Consider the following 18,373-nt stretch of genomic DNA (forward strand, 5'->3'; position numbering starts at 1 on the left):
TGGCACCTCTGCCCTGCTGGCTTCTGTACCTCTCAGCCCCAGAGAACCTAAGGGAATCAGCCCACCGTGGCTAGCCAGGTGGGGTCTGGTTTTCCACAGCCTGCCAGTCCCATTACTGGCCAGGACTTTAGGCTGTATGTGCCCAACAACTATGGCCTGCTGAGGGCAGGAGACGAGTGGGGCGGGTTCCTAGGCTGGGACAGACAGCACCTCATGACAGCCTACAGAGCAAGTCACACGGCACAGGACTCAGTCAGTCATTCAGCTTTATTTCAGTGCTGGTTTTTGGTTCCCTAAGAGCTGCATGAGTGCTAGGCTTCACCACGTGACTGGGGGCCCCTTGGGAACTGGGTACTATGGGCAGGATGCCCCTGAAAAGAACTGAAGACAGAGGAATCATACTTCTCTTTAATACCTCTGGGGAAGGCCCAGGCTAAGGATGAGGGCAGGGACCAGTCCCAGTGCCCCCTGGGGAGAGAAGAGGGAGAAGCTTGGGCACAAACTCCCAGTGGCCCTGCAAGGCTATCATCCCTGGATCTTGCTGGAGTGGACAGTCTTCTGGGCCAGGGTTGTTCTAGCTTGTTTCTCACTGTACCTAATCAGGGGGCCTAACTGCATTAACAGGCAGCCAGAACCTACCTACCAAAAAGCCTGTAACCTAGACTGCTCCTCAGATTTTGGCCAAGAGAGGGCCCCGGCTTGGGAGCTGCTTGGCCCTGAGAGTGAGCAGAGGCTCAGAGAATACACAGCACAAGGGTTACAGTCCCTGGCCTCTTCCCATCGCTGGAGACAATTTAAGACTGAAGGGAAGATGAGAGGAGGGGCCAGCCCTCTACCCTGGCTCATCTGCTTCTGGCTATGTTCCTACAAGGGAAGTGATAACAGCCTGAAACCCGTGGTACCAGGGCCTACCCTATGTCCACAATCCTTGGTGAGCCCTTCTGTCCACCCATCCACCCGCTCAGCCAGCCTGGGCAGACACAGAGCAGAAGCAGCCTGAAGCCCTGAAGCAGGCTTAAACACAAGTCCTTGACAGGAATCCCTGCCAGGATTCCAGGCATAGATCCTGTTCTACCAGCCTCCAGGGCCTAGAGCTTGGCACCTTAGGATTTGAGCATCAGTGTGTTCCTATGGTTGGAACCCACACCAGCTAGCTCATCCAGAACTAGCCTCATTTTGCCATCTTTGAGACAGGGTGCTGGCCCCAAGCCTACTCATCTAGACTGGACAAATGTAAAAGGTTCAAAGCCCAGATGATGTAAGAGCTGGGGTGGAGCTCAAGCACGGGAGCCCATCTGCCTGCTCTGGGATGACAGCTGCAAAGGACCGTTTCAGGGGAAGGGCAGAGGGGATGAAAGAGTAGGTGGGGCATGTATGTGCGGGCAAAGGGCTGGAGGAGTGGTGGCCTAGGACAGAAGCACCAGGAAGCCTCTTCTGGTTCAGCACCAGGCTCCCCCAGGGATATCCCCATCTGAGGGGTCTGGCCCCAGACTAGGCAAAGGCTCAACCTGCTCAGCTTTGAGGGTGGGGGCGGGCACTGCTGGCAAGATGGGCACTGTGGTTCTACAGTAATATAACCTTATACTACCTGTGCTGAAGACGACAGAACAACATAAAATCCCAATACAGTAACACCATCCTAATGCCGCCCCCTTCCCTACCTCTGAGTGATGGAGGGAAAAGGAGGGAGAGATCCTTGGAAAAATCAGCATAAAACTTGGATCAGCTCAGGAGTAAGGGTCAAAACCCCCCAAATCAACTTGTGGGGCTAGGGGAAGGCCTGGTCTGTCACAGCCCTGGACATGAATGGAGAGTGCAGGTCTGCCCTCTGGTGGACAGCTGCCGTGCAGCTGGTTCTACAGAGGAAGGGCTGTCTGCGTGGGGAAAGCAGGGGAGACACAAAGCCACAAGCTCTGAAATAGAGCAGGTACAGGCCCCCAGACAGGACCTGGCCCACTCTTCAATGTGTGTGCCCAGGCCCAGTGGCTGTAAACCTGAAACACAGTCTTGAGAGCTGCCTACGGCTGTAAACAAAGGCCCACCTGGCCGTGCAGGGGGCTGAGGGTAGAGATGCCTGGAGTTGCTGCACGCTCAGCCTGCCACCCAGCCCGGAACCCAGTGGGAAAGACTTCCCTGGCTAAGAGCAAGTGACAGGTCAGTTTTAAGTAAGTTCTGTTCTCTCACAGAAGAAACAAACCCAAAAGAGAAAAAACTTTAACAAGGTCCATGAAGCTTCATATCCTTAAGGCGTTTGTTATCAGGAGCAGCAGGGGACAGCAGAGTCCTGCCTGCGCAGGAACCCTCTAAGCAGAGTGCAGTGGGATAACAAACTTGCAGCCAAAGGGCGAGTGGTAGTTGATGCCCACCTCCTGGAAGACCTGCTGGGGAATGCCAATGTCGCACAAATAGATACGGCCTGCGTGCTCCCCCAGTGGCAGAGGCAGGCCCAGTGCCAGTGACCATTTGGCATCAATGCCCTGTTCGACTTCATGCACAGGAGGGTCTATGCTGAGTACTGGTGCCCGGTTCTGGTTGGCCCAGGCCACAGCTGCCTTGTACCAGGGTTGATCGCGCAGGAAGACGTTCTCAGGGCAATCCAGGCAGTTGATGACCAGGTCCACAGGGCTAGTGGGCAGATCTGCAGGTGGAAAGAGTGCCATCTGAAAGTCCCTATGAGCAGAGAGCAGCCCAGGCTGGGACTAGGGCCCAGGTCACCCCAAGGGTGTCTTTGTTTTCCAGACACCACTCGAATGCCTCTCCAAAGGCTGGCCTTCTTAAAGCTGGGCCAGGGCACAGGCCCTAGGAGTTGCAAGCTGGCTGGGCTGAGTGCTAGAGACCAAGTGCATGTCAGCCCAGCAGACCACTGCCCTCCTGGAGTTCTCAGGATGAACCATTGTCGTCCTGAGTGTGCAGAGCTTCTCAGGGCACAAAGCCCTCACCTCCTCTGCCTTCTCAGGCATGCCTCTGTATATCCAACTAATGCCCTGGGCACCTTATGACCTCTGGGAAGGCAGAGTCCACTGTCAAGGTGGCCATCACAGGGAAACCCCACTCAGGTCCAGCAAAAACAGGAGCTGACTGCTATCTGCTGACCCAAGAAGGGTGAGCAGGTGAGAGCATGCTTATTCTATTCCAGCTGGCCTACTCATTCTACTCTAGCAAGCCTGTCCCCTCTCGTACTCATTATCTCACAGGAATGGGTCCTCCACTCAGCCCAACCTTAATTAAGAATTAAGAGGGAACCTATTACTATTCTCCCAGGCTCCTCTGCTCTAACCAGGCTTCTGGGACAGTATTAGAAAAGGATGTCTCAACAAGTATGTAGATCCTGTACTGGCCTAAGAAGTTAAACTGAGAATAGCATAAATCAGACCAAACTTAATGGTCGTTGAGACTTGTGTCCTGGAGCAGCTGGGATAGGAAAACTTTTGGGCAGCAAGAGGAAGAACTGCCTGGAAGGGGGCATCATGTTAAAAATTACAAGGGGAACCCACACCAGGCCCCCTTCCCAGCTCTCAGCCTAGAGTATTAGCATTTCTCAGCTAGAGACTCACAACTTCCTTGCTTAGAATGTGCCACCGGGGGGAGTCCCTGTGGGTGATGAGGCTCTCAAGAGTGAGAGTGGCATCCTATCTTCTGTGTGCCCACAGGAGCCTGGCCCGAGACTTAGCAGGTGAAGTTTCTGGTCCAGGCTTTGCCCTTGACTCACTATGTGACCTCTGGTGGAGTCCCTTCTCTGGGCCATATTTGCTCTCTCCAATTCTTCTCCCTGCTGTTCTCATTTAAACCCATTCCAGTCAGACTCTGTCCCTACCACTCCACTTAAGACCACTCATCAAGCTCACCAGGAGCCTCCACAGAGATGCTAAATCCAGTGGTCGATTCTGTCTTCCTTTGACCTTAACCTAGAACGGGGCTTGCTGACACACTGACCACATGCTCCTTTCTTCACTTGGCTTTCAGCTACCATACTCTCCTGGTTTTCTTCCTCCCTCACTGACCATTCCTGTCCCATCTCCTTGGTTAGGCTCTTTACTCCCTGACTTCTAAATAAAGAGCTCAGTTTTCCAACTTCTGTATCTACTCTCTTCCTATGTGACAGCATATCCAGGCTCCTCATGGCTTAAATATTCCCTATGGCTTGTAACTCTAGGCTGAATCCTTTCACTTCAGATTCATATAACTCGTTCCCTATCAACATTTCCACCTGCATATCCAATAGGTGTCTCAAGCTGAGCTTCTGCTGTTCCTCCCCAAACCTTCTCTATCAAGTTTTCCCATCTCAGTGATCGCACCTCAGTTACTGAGGCCAAAAACTTTGGAGCCATTGCCAACTCTTCTCTTTCTCCCACCCCCCATACATCCAGTCTGTGGATTCTATCTCCAAAACTGATTTAGAAACTAACTACCTTCACCACCTCTGGCACTACCACTCTTGTCTTAGCCACCATAATCTCTCTCTCCCATGATCACAACAGCATCTTGACACTTCTCTGTACTCCTCTGTGTAGTCTACTCTCAAACAGCACCCAGAATGATCATCTGGAACCTAAATTTGATTATATCATTTCTCTACTTATTCCTTCAATGACTGCCCATCTCACCAGAGTAAAAGCCCAAATCCTTGTGGTCATCCCCAAGGCCCATCATGACCTGACCCTGAAATGTCCAAGTCTCCTACTCTCCACCCAGTCCTCCAACATGCCTCCTTTCCCTGCTTTGTTTTTATCCACATCACTTACTACAACTACACAAGTATGTTACATGTCTTTTTGTTCCTCCTAACCAGAATATAAGCTCCACAGAAGAATGGATTTAAAAAAATCTGTTGCCATATCCCTAGCATCAGGAAGAGTGCCTGTTCAACGAATATTTGTGGAATGGACCAATGGGTCCCCAGCTCTTCATGTGAGTAGTTGGAGAGGGAGAAGCATAAGGGGATGGGAAGTAGTATATTACTGTTCTAAGACTCCTTAGAGGCGAAGCACCATCCTTACACACGTAGTGCCTTTCCACCTGTCGCCACTGGGTGGCATGACGAGACCATCAAACTGCTAAGGAGGGAGGAGGCCTTCAGCCCAGCCCTGCCTAAGTGCTCACCTTTGAGGCTAGACACTTGTTGGCCTTGGGTCTTGCTGAAGAGCGACAGCTCATTGGTGATAGATTCCAACATCTTGACAAAATTGGGCAGGAAAAGGATGACCTGGACATCATGGTTGGCTAGGTGCCTTCCACAGCTGATACCCTGAGCCCCCTTCACATGAGGTCCACACAGTAGAGCCACTGTAGGCCTCTGGTGAACATTTTTGGGATTCAACCTGGAAAAGAAGGTGAAGAAGCAGTATCAGCTACATACTTGCCAATCCCTTGCACCCTATACCAGACAATTGCCTGTAGCACCTATTGGTCTCAGATCTCTTACCCACTGCTCACCAAGTCCCAGGCTCCAGAGGGGGACAAAATCCACTGCAGGCCAGGTCTATAGGGTGGCACTCCTGTTGTCCCAAACCCCAACCTCACATCATTGCTGGGTCCTCCCACTAAGTGGTTCACCCAGATCTTGCTCCACACAACACTGTTGCCACAACACCGCTTTGCTGACCCATGAACACTTAATAGTTCCTCTGCAGCCTTGTCTGCTCTTCTTCCCCAACGTGTCTGCTTCACTCCAGCAGGGCTGGTCTCATCCTCTCCTGCACTTGTAAGGCTCTTTCCTGCTTATGCTCAAACTACATCCCCTGCCCAGAAAGCCTTTCACTTTCCAAACTCTGAACCGCCTTTTCTTGGAGATCCAGTTCAAGACTTACCTCTGCTGGGATTACTCTGGCTCATGCCTTTACCTCTCCTCAACTCCTAATAAGCTCACAGCAAGTACCATAGCTCTCCATTCTCCTCAGTCAGTTGCCAATGGTTCTCTTTACTGAGCTTAGTAGCTTACTGAAGTTAATGAAAGCAATGCTGCAGGCATTAACAGTATCTATTTCATAGGATGCTGTGCAGATTATCGGATGCCCAGCACTTAGCAGTGCCTAACACAAAGAAGGTAAGGTACTCAGTCAGTGCTGACCATGGCGGAGGCAGCAGGCCAAGGGTTACCTGGCCTCCTAGGCTAGCAGCTGCCTTGGATGAAGTTGTCACTTCCAGTTTTCTGCTATTCAAAGCTGAGACTCCTCTAGACTCAGAGAAGCCACAAATAAGGAGATAAAGAGGATTAGCCCCAGAGCTGTGCCCAACTCATAGGCAGCACAGTTGGCTCACGGGGCAGCAATGTAGGGAGGAGATGGACGGCAAGGCCATAGGTCCCTGCCTAGTGGCAGAGCAATGATAGTCACTTACCGGTTTCCCAAAGGGAGGAAGATGACAAGATGTTGTCAAGCTAAGAGGAGCTTCATAACTGCCCCCATTCCCAAACACATTTTGGAGAATTTAACAATCTACTCTATATTCCAGACACCAAACCATTCGCCTTCCCATTTCTGCATTTAGAGGAAATATGATGAGAATTGCTCCCTTCAGAGGATGCTGCAGAGTTGTGGAATCTGACTCACTTTGTTCTCTAAAAGGGTTCTTCCTCTCAGGGAGAACCTCTCCCACCCCCAATCAAAAGAAGCAGAGCATGGCATTCACACACCCAGCGGCAAGGTGTAGAGTATATGGGCACTGGAAATGGACCTATGTGGATTAGAGGCCTGGCTGGACTGTGTACCAGCAGTATCATGTGGGCAAGTCCCTCAGCTCTCTGAGCCACAGTGTGCTTATCCAAAAACACAGGGCTATTATTTAGCTTTGAGGTGAAGTTATGAGGACCACATTAAATTATGTTGTGAAAGCACTGTGGAACACTGCATGGCACCTGACATACATTAAACTTCAAGATTACTAACCACGGGTCTGATTTCTCAACATCAGCAACTGCTACAAAGGACAGGAGATGGACCTTTGGATAGTTCAGACACTAAGAGAAAAGACTGGCACAAGGACAGCCAGCCCCAAGAAGCTGGCTAGAGAGGAGTGTGATTTGGTAAGGACATTCAGCTCCTGCTCCAAAACTAATGTTTCTGGGAAGCCACTTAATGGTCTCAAAGTGCCCCCAACAGTGGCTCTGGGAGGAGGTGCAGGAGACACCAGACACACGGGCCTGATGCTCTTTCAGAGGGCACCTCACACTACCCCCTCCTGTAGGCATTTCCCTGGCTCTTCCCTGGCACAGGAGAGCCCAAGGATCTAACAGCTAGGAAGCAGGCCTAAATCAAAGAAAAAGGAAAAACTAACACTCCAACCCCCAACTCAAATAGGATGAGGGAGGTGGAAATCTTACATCTGGCTTGGAGTAAGCCTGCTTGAATTAAGATCACTTCAGAATCAGGAGATGCCTTCCATCCAAACACATTATCAGGCCCAGAGAATGAAAATAGGCTGGAGTGAGGAGCTACAGGATTTATCTGCAATATCAGTTTTCTGGCAAGCACTCCCAAACACCATGGCTGGAAGCACAAGCCAAGGACCAGGTTCCATTTTGCAAATAGGGAAGGGGCCCTGTGGGAAGCAACATCCTATCATGTGAGGCTTTGGATCTGTGAGTGCTGCTCAGGGAAAGGAGGCTTTCCTTGCCCCAGTGAACCCAGATCTGCCCTGCTCTTTGGAAGTGGCCTCCCCACTCCAGACACCACTCTCCCACAAGGTTGCCTACATCCTCCTCTTTACCGAAAAATCCAACAGGCACTTGTCAACTCTAATTTTGATTGATCTCTCAGCACTACCATTGCCGGCCGTTCCTTTTTTCTTCAAAGACTATTTCCTTGGTTCTTACACGCTACCCTCTTGGTTTCTTACCTCTCCTGCCTTCTTCTTCATCCTTCTAACTGTGCCTTACATGCCGACGTTCCCCAGAATCCCACCCTAGGCCCTTTCTGTTCACACCTTCTCCTTATATGATCTCATCTACTCTTACACCATCTACAAGCTGACAACTCCTAAATCTCTAGCATCAGCTAAGACCCTTTTCTGAACTTCAGATCTTTTTTTTTTTTTTTTTTTTTTTTGAGATGGAGTCTTGCTCTTGTTGCCCAGGCTGGAGTGCAGTGGTGTGATCTCAGCTCACTGCAACCTCCTCCTCCCAGATTCAAGCATTTCTCTTGCCTCAGCCTCCTGAGTAGCTGGGACTACAGGCACCTGCCACCATGCCTGGCTAATTTTTATATTTTTAGTAGAGACAGGGTTTCGCCATGTTGGCCAGGCTGGTTTTGACCTCCTGACCTCAAGTGATCTGCCCGCCTTGGCCTCCCGAAGTATAGGGATTACAGGTGTGAGTCACTGCGCCTGGCCTAAGTTTCAGATCCTTATAGCTAAGAGACTATTTGGATATCTCACAGGTATTCCAAACTCAACACATCCAAAACAAAACCCACCATCTCTCCCAAACCTGCTCTTCTTCCCATGTTTCCTATCACAGTGAATGTAACCACCATCCAATCAGATGTCCAGGCTAGAAAACTTGAAGTTCACTGATTTCTGACATTATACTTTCCATTACCTCTAAAATCCATTCAATTACCTTGCCCTGCTGAATTTACCTTAAAAACAACAACAACAACAACAACAACAACAACACCCATCTGTCCACTTCTCTTTCTAAGAGACAAAAAAAAAAAAAAGAGACAGACAAAGTCTCACTACGTTGCCCAGGCTGGCCTCGAACTCCTGGGCTCAAGCAGTCCTCCCACTGCAGCCTCTGGAGTAACTGGGATTATAGGCATGCCTCACCAAACCTGGTTTGTCCACTTTTCTGATCCCTGCTTCCCTAGTTGGGCCACCATCACTTGGGCCCTGGCTCAGTTTTCTAAGTTTTGCAGTTTTCTACCTGATCTCACTGCCTTCAGTCTTGCCTCCATTGAATTGACTGTCCTCATTGTAGCTAAAAATCATCTTTTTAAAACACAAGACTAACTATGTCATAGCTCTACTGAAATGTCTTCAGCAGCTCCCTACCACTCAGCTGTACTGAGGCCCTACTTTCCAGCCACATAGTGACTTACGGATTGCCAACAACCATGTGCCATGGTCTCTCGATTCTCTCTGCCCTTGGCACATGCTACTCCCTGTACTTAGAATACCTTCTTCTTGGCCAGGTGCAATGGCTCACACCTGTAATCCCAGCACTTTGGGAGGCAGAGGCACGCAGATTACCTGAGGCCAAGAGTTTGGGACCAGCCTGGACAACATGGCGAAACCCTGTCTCTACCAGAAACACAAAAAATTAGCTGTGCATGGTGGCACATGCCTGCAGTCTCAGCTACTTCATGAGGCTGAGGTGGGAGAATTGCTCAAGCTCAGGAGGTGGAAGTTGCAGTGAGCTGAGATTGTGCCACTGTGCTCCAGCCTGGGTGACAGAGTGAGAACCTGTCTCAAAAAAAAAAAAAAAAAGAATGCCTTCTTCTTTCTTGCTTGCCCCTGTTAATCACCACTTGTTCGTCAGGGCTCAGCTTGGATGCCACTGCTCCAGAAGGGTGACTGGTTTCTCCAGCCTGGGGCAATAATATGGCTTACTGGAGAATTTTGTTTCCTCTACTACAGCACTATACTTTCTAGAGACCTCATTGGGCTACTAGAGGAAAGGCACAGTATTTTATTCTTCGTGTCCCCGGTGTCTAGCAGAAGGTCTGGCACCTGGTATCAGTCTGTCTACAAATAAAATAAGGCACTGCCCTTGATATATGAGCATAAGGGGCAGGTGGGAAGGTGCCAAACTCCAGCTCCCCTACTCAGTTGTCAGTGTGGTTCTGGAAGCTCTCAGGTATGGAGACTGATTTGCATCCCAGCCACGTAAAGTAAATGATGAGTGCCAAAGGCCAGGTCTCCGAAGGTTCCTAGAAGGAAGGCTTCTGATAGTTAGCAGGAGTCTCAGGCCCGATGGCTGCTATCAGGAGAGAGTCAAAAGGCAGCTTGCCAGAAGAATAATGAGGACATCTAGGAGATGGGTCTGAGGAGGGGCAAAGAAACCTCACAGCATCCAGGAAAGTGACTTCAGAGAGACACTCCCATCAGATGAGCAGAAACTGCCTAATGAACTCGTATGTGTGTATGGGAGGCACTGTGGTGGTGGCCAGGCAGAGCATCCTTACTCCACATTGAGTCCCTGCCAGTTTATAGACATTTACCTGTTAGGTCCTCCGAGGAGGGTCAGTGCCATCTGACTGGCACACACACCTGTCATCTCCAGTCTCCGCTCAAGGGTCAGCCCATGCTTCTCAGCCACGGACAACAGCTTTTTATGCAGCTCATAGGAAATACTTGGGACAACCAGGCCAGAGTCTGCAGTTCAAAAGGAGAAGAGAAAGGGAAAGTGACTACAGAAACCAAGTCCAAACCGGGTATACTCTATCCAAGATTCTGCAAATGCCAACATTTTACCATGGATCACCCCTGGCCCATCCTCTTCATCTTCCGGGACTAAGGCACGCTCTGCAGCTCTGCAGAGCTCAAGTAGTGACTGGTGAACCAAGTAACAACTTGTTCCAGGTCACCACAGAGTGGGGACAAACTTAAGCTCCCTTAGCAATTTAGCTTTAGACCACAAAGGCCAAATCTACCAGGATATATTTAGTGCTATCGAGACCAGCACACAGCCTGTAACAGCAACCTATCAGGCACATGAGAAGAGAACATGATTTTCCCAAAGTGGGGGAAATGCCATCTTGGGCAGCGGGGCTTCCTCACAAGCAGGCCCCTTGTCCTTCCTGAGAAGTGGAACAGACACTAGCTAACCCTAATGGCCCTCTGGTCCCTGCTGTTCTCCTCAACTGTAGGGCAGGAGGACTTGTTCCATCTGCTTCCCTCTTCCTCTTCCTTCTCTCTTCTATTTACCCCTTCCTTTTTGATTAAGAAACTTAGCTAGCAAAGTTGTTTTCTCAAATAATTTATCATTTTCTCCCCATCTGAGTTGGGTGTAACCCAGTACTCACGAAACAGGGAAGCAGTACAAGTTAAGTAAGCTATGGCTGGCTTTAAAAAAGGGTAACTTTTATAAAAGTTGGGGAGAATTAGTCACTGAAAGTACACTGTGGAAAATACTTGGTTTTTCAAGGCTCAAAGCCAACATCTACAGCAGCTGGTGTATGTGAAGAAGTCTATAGTATTATTATATGCACCAGTGTCAACATACCAGGAAAGAAACAGCAAACCCAAAAATTTGGATCTGCAATGGACAGCTCTTACCTTGACAACCAAGGTATTGCTCCCTCCAAGAAGCCAATGCCATCTTACAAATGCCAAAGCCACTGGGCTAACCAGCAGACCCTTTCCCAAAGAGCCCCACTTGGCTTCACCGGCCAGTGGACCAACCAACGCAGATTCCAATCAGCAAGCCACTGTGGGACTGCACGTCACTCACTTTGTCCAGCTAGATCAGGTACCTTTTTAGATCCTGTGTCCTCAATTATACTGGACTGTCAACTGCCTGAGGTAAGGAAATTAATCTTTTACTTCTTCAGCCTTCGCCTTCTCAACTTGTTCCAGCTACACTTATCAACGGAGTTGAGTTCTTATCAGGTCCTCAGACATATAAATGATGCAAACCTAGTGCCATTTCTGGTCTGGCCTAACTCTAAGGTAGAAGAGTTAGGGAATAAAAGTTAATAAAAGTTTTCAGTACATTTATCTCCTTCCATTGTTCCAGAGCCTTGTCTAGAAAAATCTGTTTTCTTCACTGGTCCTGTCGGGAGAAATCTCTTGAGGTTATCTATCAGGTCCAGTCCTACCTGCATATTCCTAAAGCCACAGAGAATGAGGCTATAGCTTCATGTTTTAACAACAGGAAACCAAGCACAAAGACTGAAACTATAGGACCCAGGTCTGTATCCTCTCAGGGAAGGCAGAATAACAATGTCATGTAATGATGATGATAAAAAAGGTCTAACGTATCAAATAAACACTAACACTATCCTGTTGGCTAACTGAGCCCCTCTACCTGCCCAAGTCCTATTCCTGGGCTGGGGAGAGGCAACAAACAGTGCCATTAGGAGCACTGAGTCTCTCCTCCCACCTCTTTCTGAAATGTCAGTCATTGGTATCTCAGGTGCCAGTGCTGGAGGCTGCAGACTGACCTTGCATGTCAACAGCTGATTAAAACAGCCATTTTTATGGCCTGCTTCAGACACGCACATATTATCAGAACTAATTAGGCTGAACAATTTTCAAAAGTCCTAAGCCACGAACAACTCAAACCTGTCAGACAAGTCATGCACCTGACTACTTCAAACACCCTCTTTACCTGCAGAGTCACGCAAGGCAGAGCTTTCACTCGTCTATGCATTTCTTCACCTATTTATCAGGACTCTTTCTGTTAGATTTGAAATGGGTCAGGGCAGTGAGTCTTGGGCCTGCTACTCCACAAATCAAGCATTCTTTCTAGGTCTGGCTCTTGTGCTACGTGTACAGGCAGGCAGCCCCTCCCCTGCCCCCTCATTCTGAGGGCTCTCTGGGAGCAGGCAGAAGCATTTTCTGCTAGCTGTGCCCTCACAGTCCTTAAGAGTACAAAACTTAATGGTACAGGAGAGGAGACATCACCCCCCACCGGCTGGCTAGATGCTGCTGCTGGAAGCTGTGAGTCTCTTACCACCTCCTCACTGATCTTTGTTGGGGGAAGGGGCACTGTTGGTGAATCAGCATATTTTTGCAGCCTAGAGAAAGACAAAGCCAAGAGCCTTTCTGCTCAGAGTCTGGCAGTTATGGGGTCTAGAACTCTACTCTGACTGTTCCTCTGAAAGGAACGTACAAACACCACAAAATGTTCCTTTTAAACATTTATACACGTAAGTCCAACAAGTTGGACTGGCTTATCAGAAACAGACCAAGGGAATAAAATAAATTCCAAAGGAAAGGAACCAAGAACATAGCGTGTAAATTGCAAACAACAACACTGCCACTGCCAAAGCCTGAACATGGGCCAAGTCTAATTATGTTTGAGTTGGAAGGTAGATCTTTATTGTTCGGGAATCAAGGCAGTAAAATCAGTTGGTAGGGTTTCTTTGAGCATTAATATGTATTTTACAGCTGCTGGTGAAACAAGAAAGGGAGAGATAATTATAACCAGATCGTGACAAGCAGAGAACTTCTTAGGATCTGATTGACCTTAGGGTATCAAGGAAGACAACAAGTACACTCAGTACAGGCCAGGAAAGAAAACTCCTCCTTGCACACCTGATTTCCACTGCATGAGGCTGAGGCTGTCTCTTCGGACCATGGGACGCAGTGGTCCAGCAGTGCCCGTGCCGGCTGCAGTCTGCCCCTTGTCAGGTCATCACTTTGGCACTGCTCATTCCAGCACACAGCATTTCAGGCCTTTCCCTCCCTTATGGACACATATATGCGTCCCCACTCCCCCTGACACAGACACCCTTCAGTAGTACCATGTCCAAGGTTCCTCTCTCCTTCAGACCTGCCCAGTCTTTCTGTTGTGTAACAAAGATCCCACAACAAAGTGTTATCTCAGATCTAACTCAATCCTCTCACTGATTGGCCCTTTAATTGGAAAGGCTGCATGTGTCCCAAGTCTTATCAATAAGGAGCACAGCTCATTTACAGGCATGGGATTTCTCCAGGACTATGACTTCTGATTCTCTTCTGTGGCAGTCAACAAAACTGAGTGCTGATGTCACACTGGTTCCTTTAGGGATATAAATCCACTGGTAAATTTATACCCCCTGACCAGCAATGTACAGAGTCCCTGGAGATCTACACTAAAGCTACCACAAACTGGTAGTAATGCAATTTAGTGTCAAGTGTTCTCTGAAGGAAGGATTTGTTATAAGAAACCTAACTACACATTCACGATACTCTTTATTATGACCCACAAGACCTGCTGTGATCTGGCCTGTCTACCTCACTACCTTTACCTGGTACCCAACATGTACCCCAGACCCCTTGGCCACCTTCTGGTTCCTAAATTCTCCAAGTTCCTTCTGGCCTCAAGAGACAGTTCGCTTCACATGCTTTCTCCATCCCAACACTTTATTCTCTCTTCTGGGGCTCTATTCTCTCTTCCAATGCTACCCCTACACAGCGGGCTCCTCATCTGTCAGGTGTCAGCACGCTGCTTACTTCCCTTCATTGCATTCAATACATCTGACTCCACTCTTAAGTGGTAGTTGAACAATGAGAACACATGGACACAGGGAGGGGAACATCACACACCGGGGCCTGTCAGGGTGTGGGGGAGGGATAGCATTAGGAGAAATACCTAATGTAGATGACGGGTTGTTGGGTGCAGCAAACCACCATGGCACGTGTGTATACCTATGTAACAAACCTGCACATTCTGCACATGTATCTCAGAACTTAAAGTGTACATATATATATATATATATATAAATAAATCTGACTCCCCACCTCTTCCCTTCCCCACTTACAACTAGACCAGCCCCATGTCCACAGTGGACCTCATTCCTTCATACTAAAGCTCCACTGGAACAAGCTTTGAACTTTAAGAGGCAAAGAACTGCTCAACAAAAACCTACTAATTATGAAGGGAAAAATTATCTTTACGAGGAAGAAATCTGGTGGTCAACACCTTACCAAGTGGTCAAACAGCCCCAGTGATGGGACAAGGGGATACAATGTACTCCCTGATGTGACGTACTCCCTGATGTGACGTACTCCCTGATGTGACGCCTTGAGAAAGACACAGCCCTACCAAAATCCTAGAAAACATGTTTAACATGAATCAGATCAAAAGGAAACAAACAATACATCAAAACTAAGACATTCTGCAAATCAATTGGCCTAGATTCTTCACTAATATCAGTATCACAAAGGACAACAAAAGTTGTAGGAACTGTTCTAGTTTAAAGGAAACAGAAGAGATATGACAGCTGAATGTAATGTGCAATGGATGATTAAAAATACAGCTATAAAGGATATTACTGGGATAATTGGGAAGTTTTGCATACGGAGTATATTAGATAGTATTTTTGTAATAATTTAAATTTTGCTGAGAGCAATCTTGTAGTGTGGTTGTGTAGAGCAATATATATCACACTGAATTTATGTGCTGTGGAAGTATTTAGGGATGAAATCTAATGATGAGTACAACTAAATCTCAAATGGTTCAGAAATATGTGTGTGTGCTCGTATGTATTTTACATAAAACAAATATGTCACAATGTTAACTGGTGAATCTAAATGAAGGGTATATGGTTGTTCATTATACTATTCTAGCAATTTTTCTGTAAGTTTGAAATTTTTTTCAATAAAAAAAGTTGGGGGGGGGGGGGTGCCAGGCAGGTGGCTCATGCCCGGCCAAAGAGTAATCCCAGCACTTTGGGAAGCCAAGGGTGGGCAGATTACTTGAGCTCAGGAGTTCGAGATCATCCTGGGCAACATGGTGAAACCCTATCTCTACTAAAAATACAAAAAAAAAAAAAAAATTAGCTGTGGGTGGCAGCGCATATCTGTGGTACCAGCTACTAGGGAGGCTGAGGTCAGGGGAGCCCAGGAGGCAGAGGCTGCAGTGAGCTGAGATTGTGCCACTGCACTCTATCTAGCCTGGGCGATAGAGAGAGACCTGTCTCAAAAAAGAGTTGGGAAGGAAAAAGGGAAACAAAGTTAAGTGCTTCCAAATATGATTTAAAAATGTTTATAGAGTAACAGTACATCAAGCAAGTCAGTGGTGAAGTGGGGAACAGCCGGGGAAACAGAGAAAATAAAACGAGTAGAAATACAGAGACCGTTCCCAGTCTTTTTGTTGTTGTTGTTGTTTTGTTTTTTTTTTTTTTTTTTGAGACAGAGTTCAGAGTTTCACTCTTGTTATCCAGGCTGGAGTGCAATGGTATGATCTCGGCTCACTGCAACCTCCGCCTCCCGGGTTCAAGTGATTCTCCTGCCTCAGCCTCCCCAGTAGCTGGAATTACAGACGTGCACCACCACGCCCAGCTAATTTTTGTATTATTAGTAGAGACAGGATTTCACCATATTGGCCAGGCTGGGCTTGAACTCCTGACCCCAGGTGATCCACCCGCCTCGACCTCCCAAAGTGTTGGGATTACGGGCGTGAGCCACTGTGTCCGGCCCCCCAGTCTTATAATCTAACTAGAAACAAAAAAATACATAGGTGCAAACTTCAGAAAATAACACAACAGCCTTAAACTGTGTTATCCTGAGCACGAGTGCAAAGTATCAATTTCAAATCAGGAGCTACAGGTAGGAGATGTCAGGTCTCAATTTGAACTATGCCTTGAAAGACAGGCAGGACTGTAGTCACAATGAATAGAAGAGGGACTCCAGGTAGGAGTGGAGAACCATGAACTTCTCAGAGGCCAGAATGCATGTGACATGTGCAGATGAATATGTCCCTGCCTGAAGCCCAGAGGGTGGTATGAAGGCTCAGTGTAGAGCAGTGGGCAGGGCCAAGGTCAGAAGGTTTTAAAAGCTGAGCTGTTTTATGCAGGATAAAGTTGACAGGGGTAGAAAGTAAGAACAGAAAGACCAAGGAGAATTGATTTCAAGGGACATAGGGAAGCTATAGGATAGCATAAGGAACTAAAAGGTCATGAAAATTTCAAATGAAATTTTGAAGGAAGGAGAGACTCTGGGGCCAGAATGAATACTACTGAGGATAAAGAAAAATCTGTTGCCAAGGCTGCTACAGAACACAGTGTCTGCATATTAAATTAGAAAAAATGACCTCCCTAGTCCTTTCCAGACCTTTTTTTTTTTTTTTTTTTAAGAAAGGAGTCTCGTTCTGTCGCCCAGGCTGGAGTGCAGTGGTGCGATCTCGGCTTACTGCAAACTCCACCTCCTGGGTTCAAGTGATTCTCCTGCCTCAGCCTCCTAAGTAGCTGGAACTACAGGCATGTGCCACCACGGATAGCTAATTTTTATATTTTTAGTAGAGACAGGGTTTCAACATGTTGGTCAGGCTGGTCTCAAACTCCTGACCTCAAGTGATCCATCTGCCTCAGCCTGATTGCTAAATTTCAAGAGAATGGTATATACATAGAAATCAAACTCCTTTCTCACTCTGTCTAGGCACTTGTGGCTCTGGAATGGCAAGAGGGCACATATTAGCAAAGCAGTCACATTAGCAGGGACCAGTGCATTTCTGGAATGACCAATGGGCAGTTTCATAAAAACTCAGGTGTCAGGCTTTAATGCACTAGGCTCCAGATCCTCTAGCCCTTGGTTTGAGCTTAAACTCTTGGAAAACATGTAAGAAGCACAATGGTTCATTACTGGGGTAGGAGTCCAGCCAAGACACCTATCTTAACAGTACTGCTCTAAAACCTCATGAGATCACCAATGATCATAACCAAGCCCTTCAGGCCTATGACAACCATCCACCCGATTATCCAGGCCCAGGAACTCTGAAGGATTCCAAGGTAAAGAAAGGGACTGATACATTCTTCCACACCTGGCACTGAAGGATCTGCTAGAGCCTGAGGTTCCCCAACTCAACCAAGTCACTGGCAGGGAAGTCTGCCTGCTGGAGACACAAATTTAGAAACTAGGCTCATTAGCTGTGTTCAGTGAAAAGTTGTGACACTTCGCAGAGGAGCACAGGTTTATCCAGTGCAGGTGTTCTGTCCAGAACACCACCCAGAATTTATTTCCTGATGTCTCCCAGAATAACATCCTTGTGGCACCTGATCTAATCCATACACATACCGTTGGGGAATGAAGTTGGGGAGGGGGTTATGGGGAGACAAGGCAGGACCCTGCATGGGTTGGGTCTATGGGTGAGAAGGCAATGAGATGCTGACCAGCTCCATGGTGGTAGACACTTGATTCTCTCAATGGGAAGAATTATCTGCAAGAGTACAACAGCTGCCAAAGGAGACCTCACTACCTCCAGGTAAAATTCTTCAGTGGCACTTCTAAACTCCAAGATTTATTTCTTCCTGAATTCCTTTTGAACACACATGCAAAAAAATCAAAACAGATTTCTTGACTACCTATTTTTGAGGAGATAAAAACACTGCTGGTCTTGAAAGCCTTAGATTACTTCTAGAGGGACTCTTGGTGACAAGAAGCAGAGGAAGGCAGCTACGGCTCAGAGGCAGGAATGGAATGCCAGCTGTGAAAGAGACAACTGCTAGCCTGGAATTTTCTGAAAGCCAAACTTGTCCTAAGAGCTAGATACATCCCCACCAAGGCTCAAAGACTTAGCCGGCCAGCGTGAGAAGAGTAGAGTCACAAAGCCACAGGAACAAATCATTTGTGGCTTCACCAGCTGCCTCCCTTCCTAGCAGAAACCAGAACTGCCTTTTCCAAAAGAAATGAGTATTGGTAAAAGGTGCTGGAGCTCAGACCAGAGCACCTCACTCAAGCTTAACTGGATCCTTTTTAAGGAAATAAATAGGAACTCTAGTTCGGGTCATCC

The 18,373-nt window shown here is 47.7% G+C and overlaps 1 protein-coding gene across 9 annotated transcripts in view, besides 2 other annotated features; it reads right to left on the bottom strand.

Annotated features, from left to right (window-relative positions):
- The window catches only part of EDC3 (enhancer of mRNA decapping 3), a 65,467-nt gene continuing 47,343 nt past the window's right edge, over window positions 250-18,373 (bottom strand). For all 9 annotated transcript variants that reach the window (NM_001351379.2, NM_025083.5, XM_024450077.2 and 6 more), the window contains 3 exons: window positions 10,158-10,311; window positions 5,101-5,318; window positions 250-2,638 (listed from right to left, as the gene is read on the bottom strand). In NM_001351379.2, coding sequence (NP_001338308.1) covers window positions 2,304-2,638; window positions 5,101-5,318; window positions 10,158-10,311 — 707 coding nt within the window. In that variant the 3' untranslated portion in view covers window positions 250-2,303. The remainder of the gene's footprint in view (window positions 2,639-5,100; window positions 5,319-10,157; window positions 10,312-18,373) is intronic.
- Window positions 1,723-1,782: an enhancer, noted in NCBI's record as "active region_9786". NCBI's record gives its function as "activates an Ori minimal core promoter by ATAC-STARR-seq in GM12878 lymphoblastoid cells {active_cell/tissue: GM12878}" and the evidence as "EXISTENCE:reporter gene assay evidence [ECO:0000049][PMID:35858748]".
- Window positions 1,843-1,992: an enhancer, noted in NCBI's record as "active region_9787". NCBI's record gives its function as "activates an Ori minimal core promoter by ATAC-STARR-seq in GM12878 lymphoblastoid cells {active_cell/tissue: GM12878}" and the evidence as "EXISTENCE:reporter gene assay evidence [ECO:0000049][PMID:35858748]".

The sequence above is a fragment of the Homo sapiens genome, chromosome 15, assembly GCF_000001405.40.
Source record: "Homo sapiens chromosome 15, GRCh38.p14 Primary Assembly".
Lineage (NCBI taxonomy): Eukaryota > Metazoa > Chordata > Mammalia > Primates > Hominidae > Homo > Homo sapiens.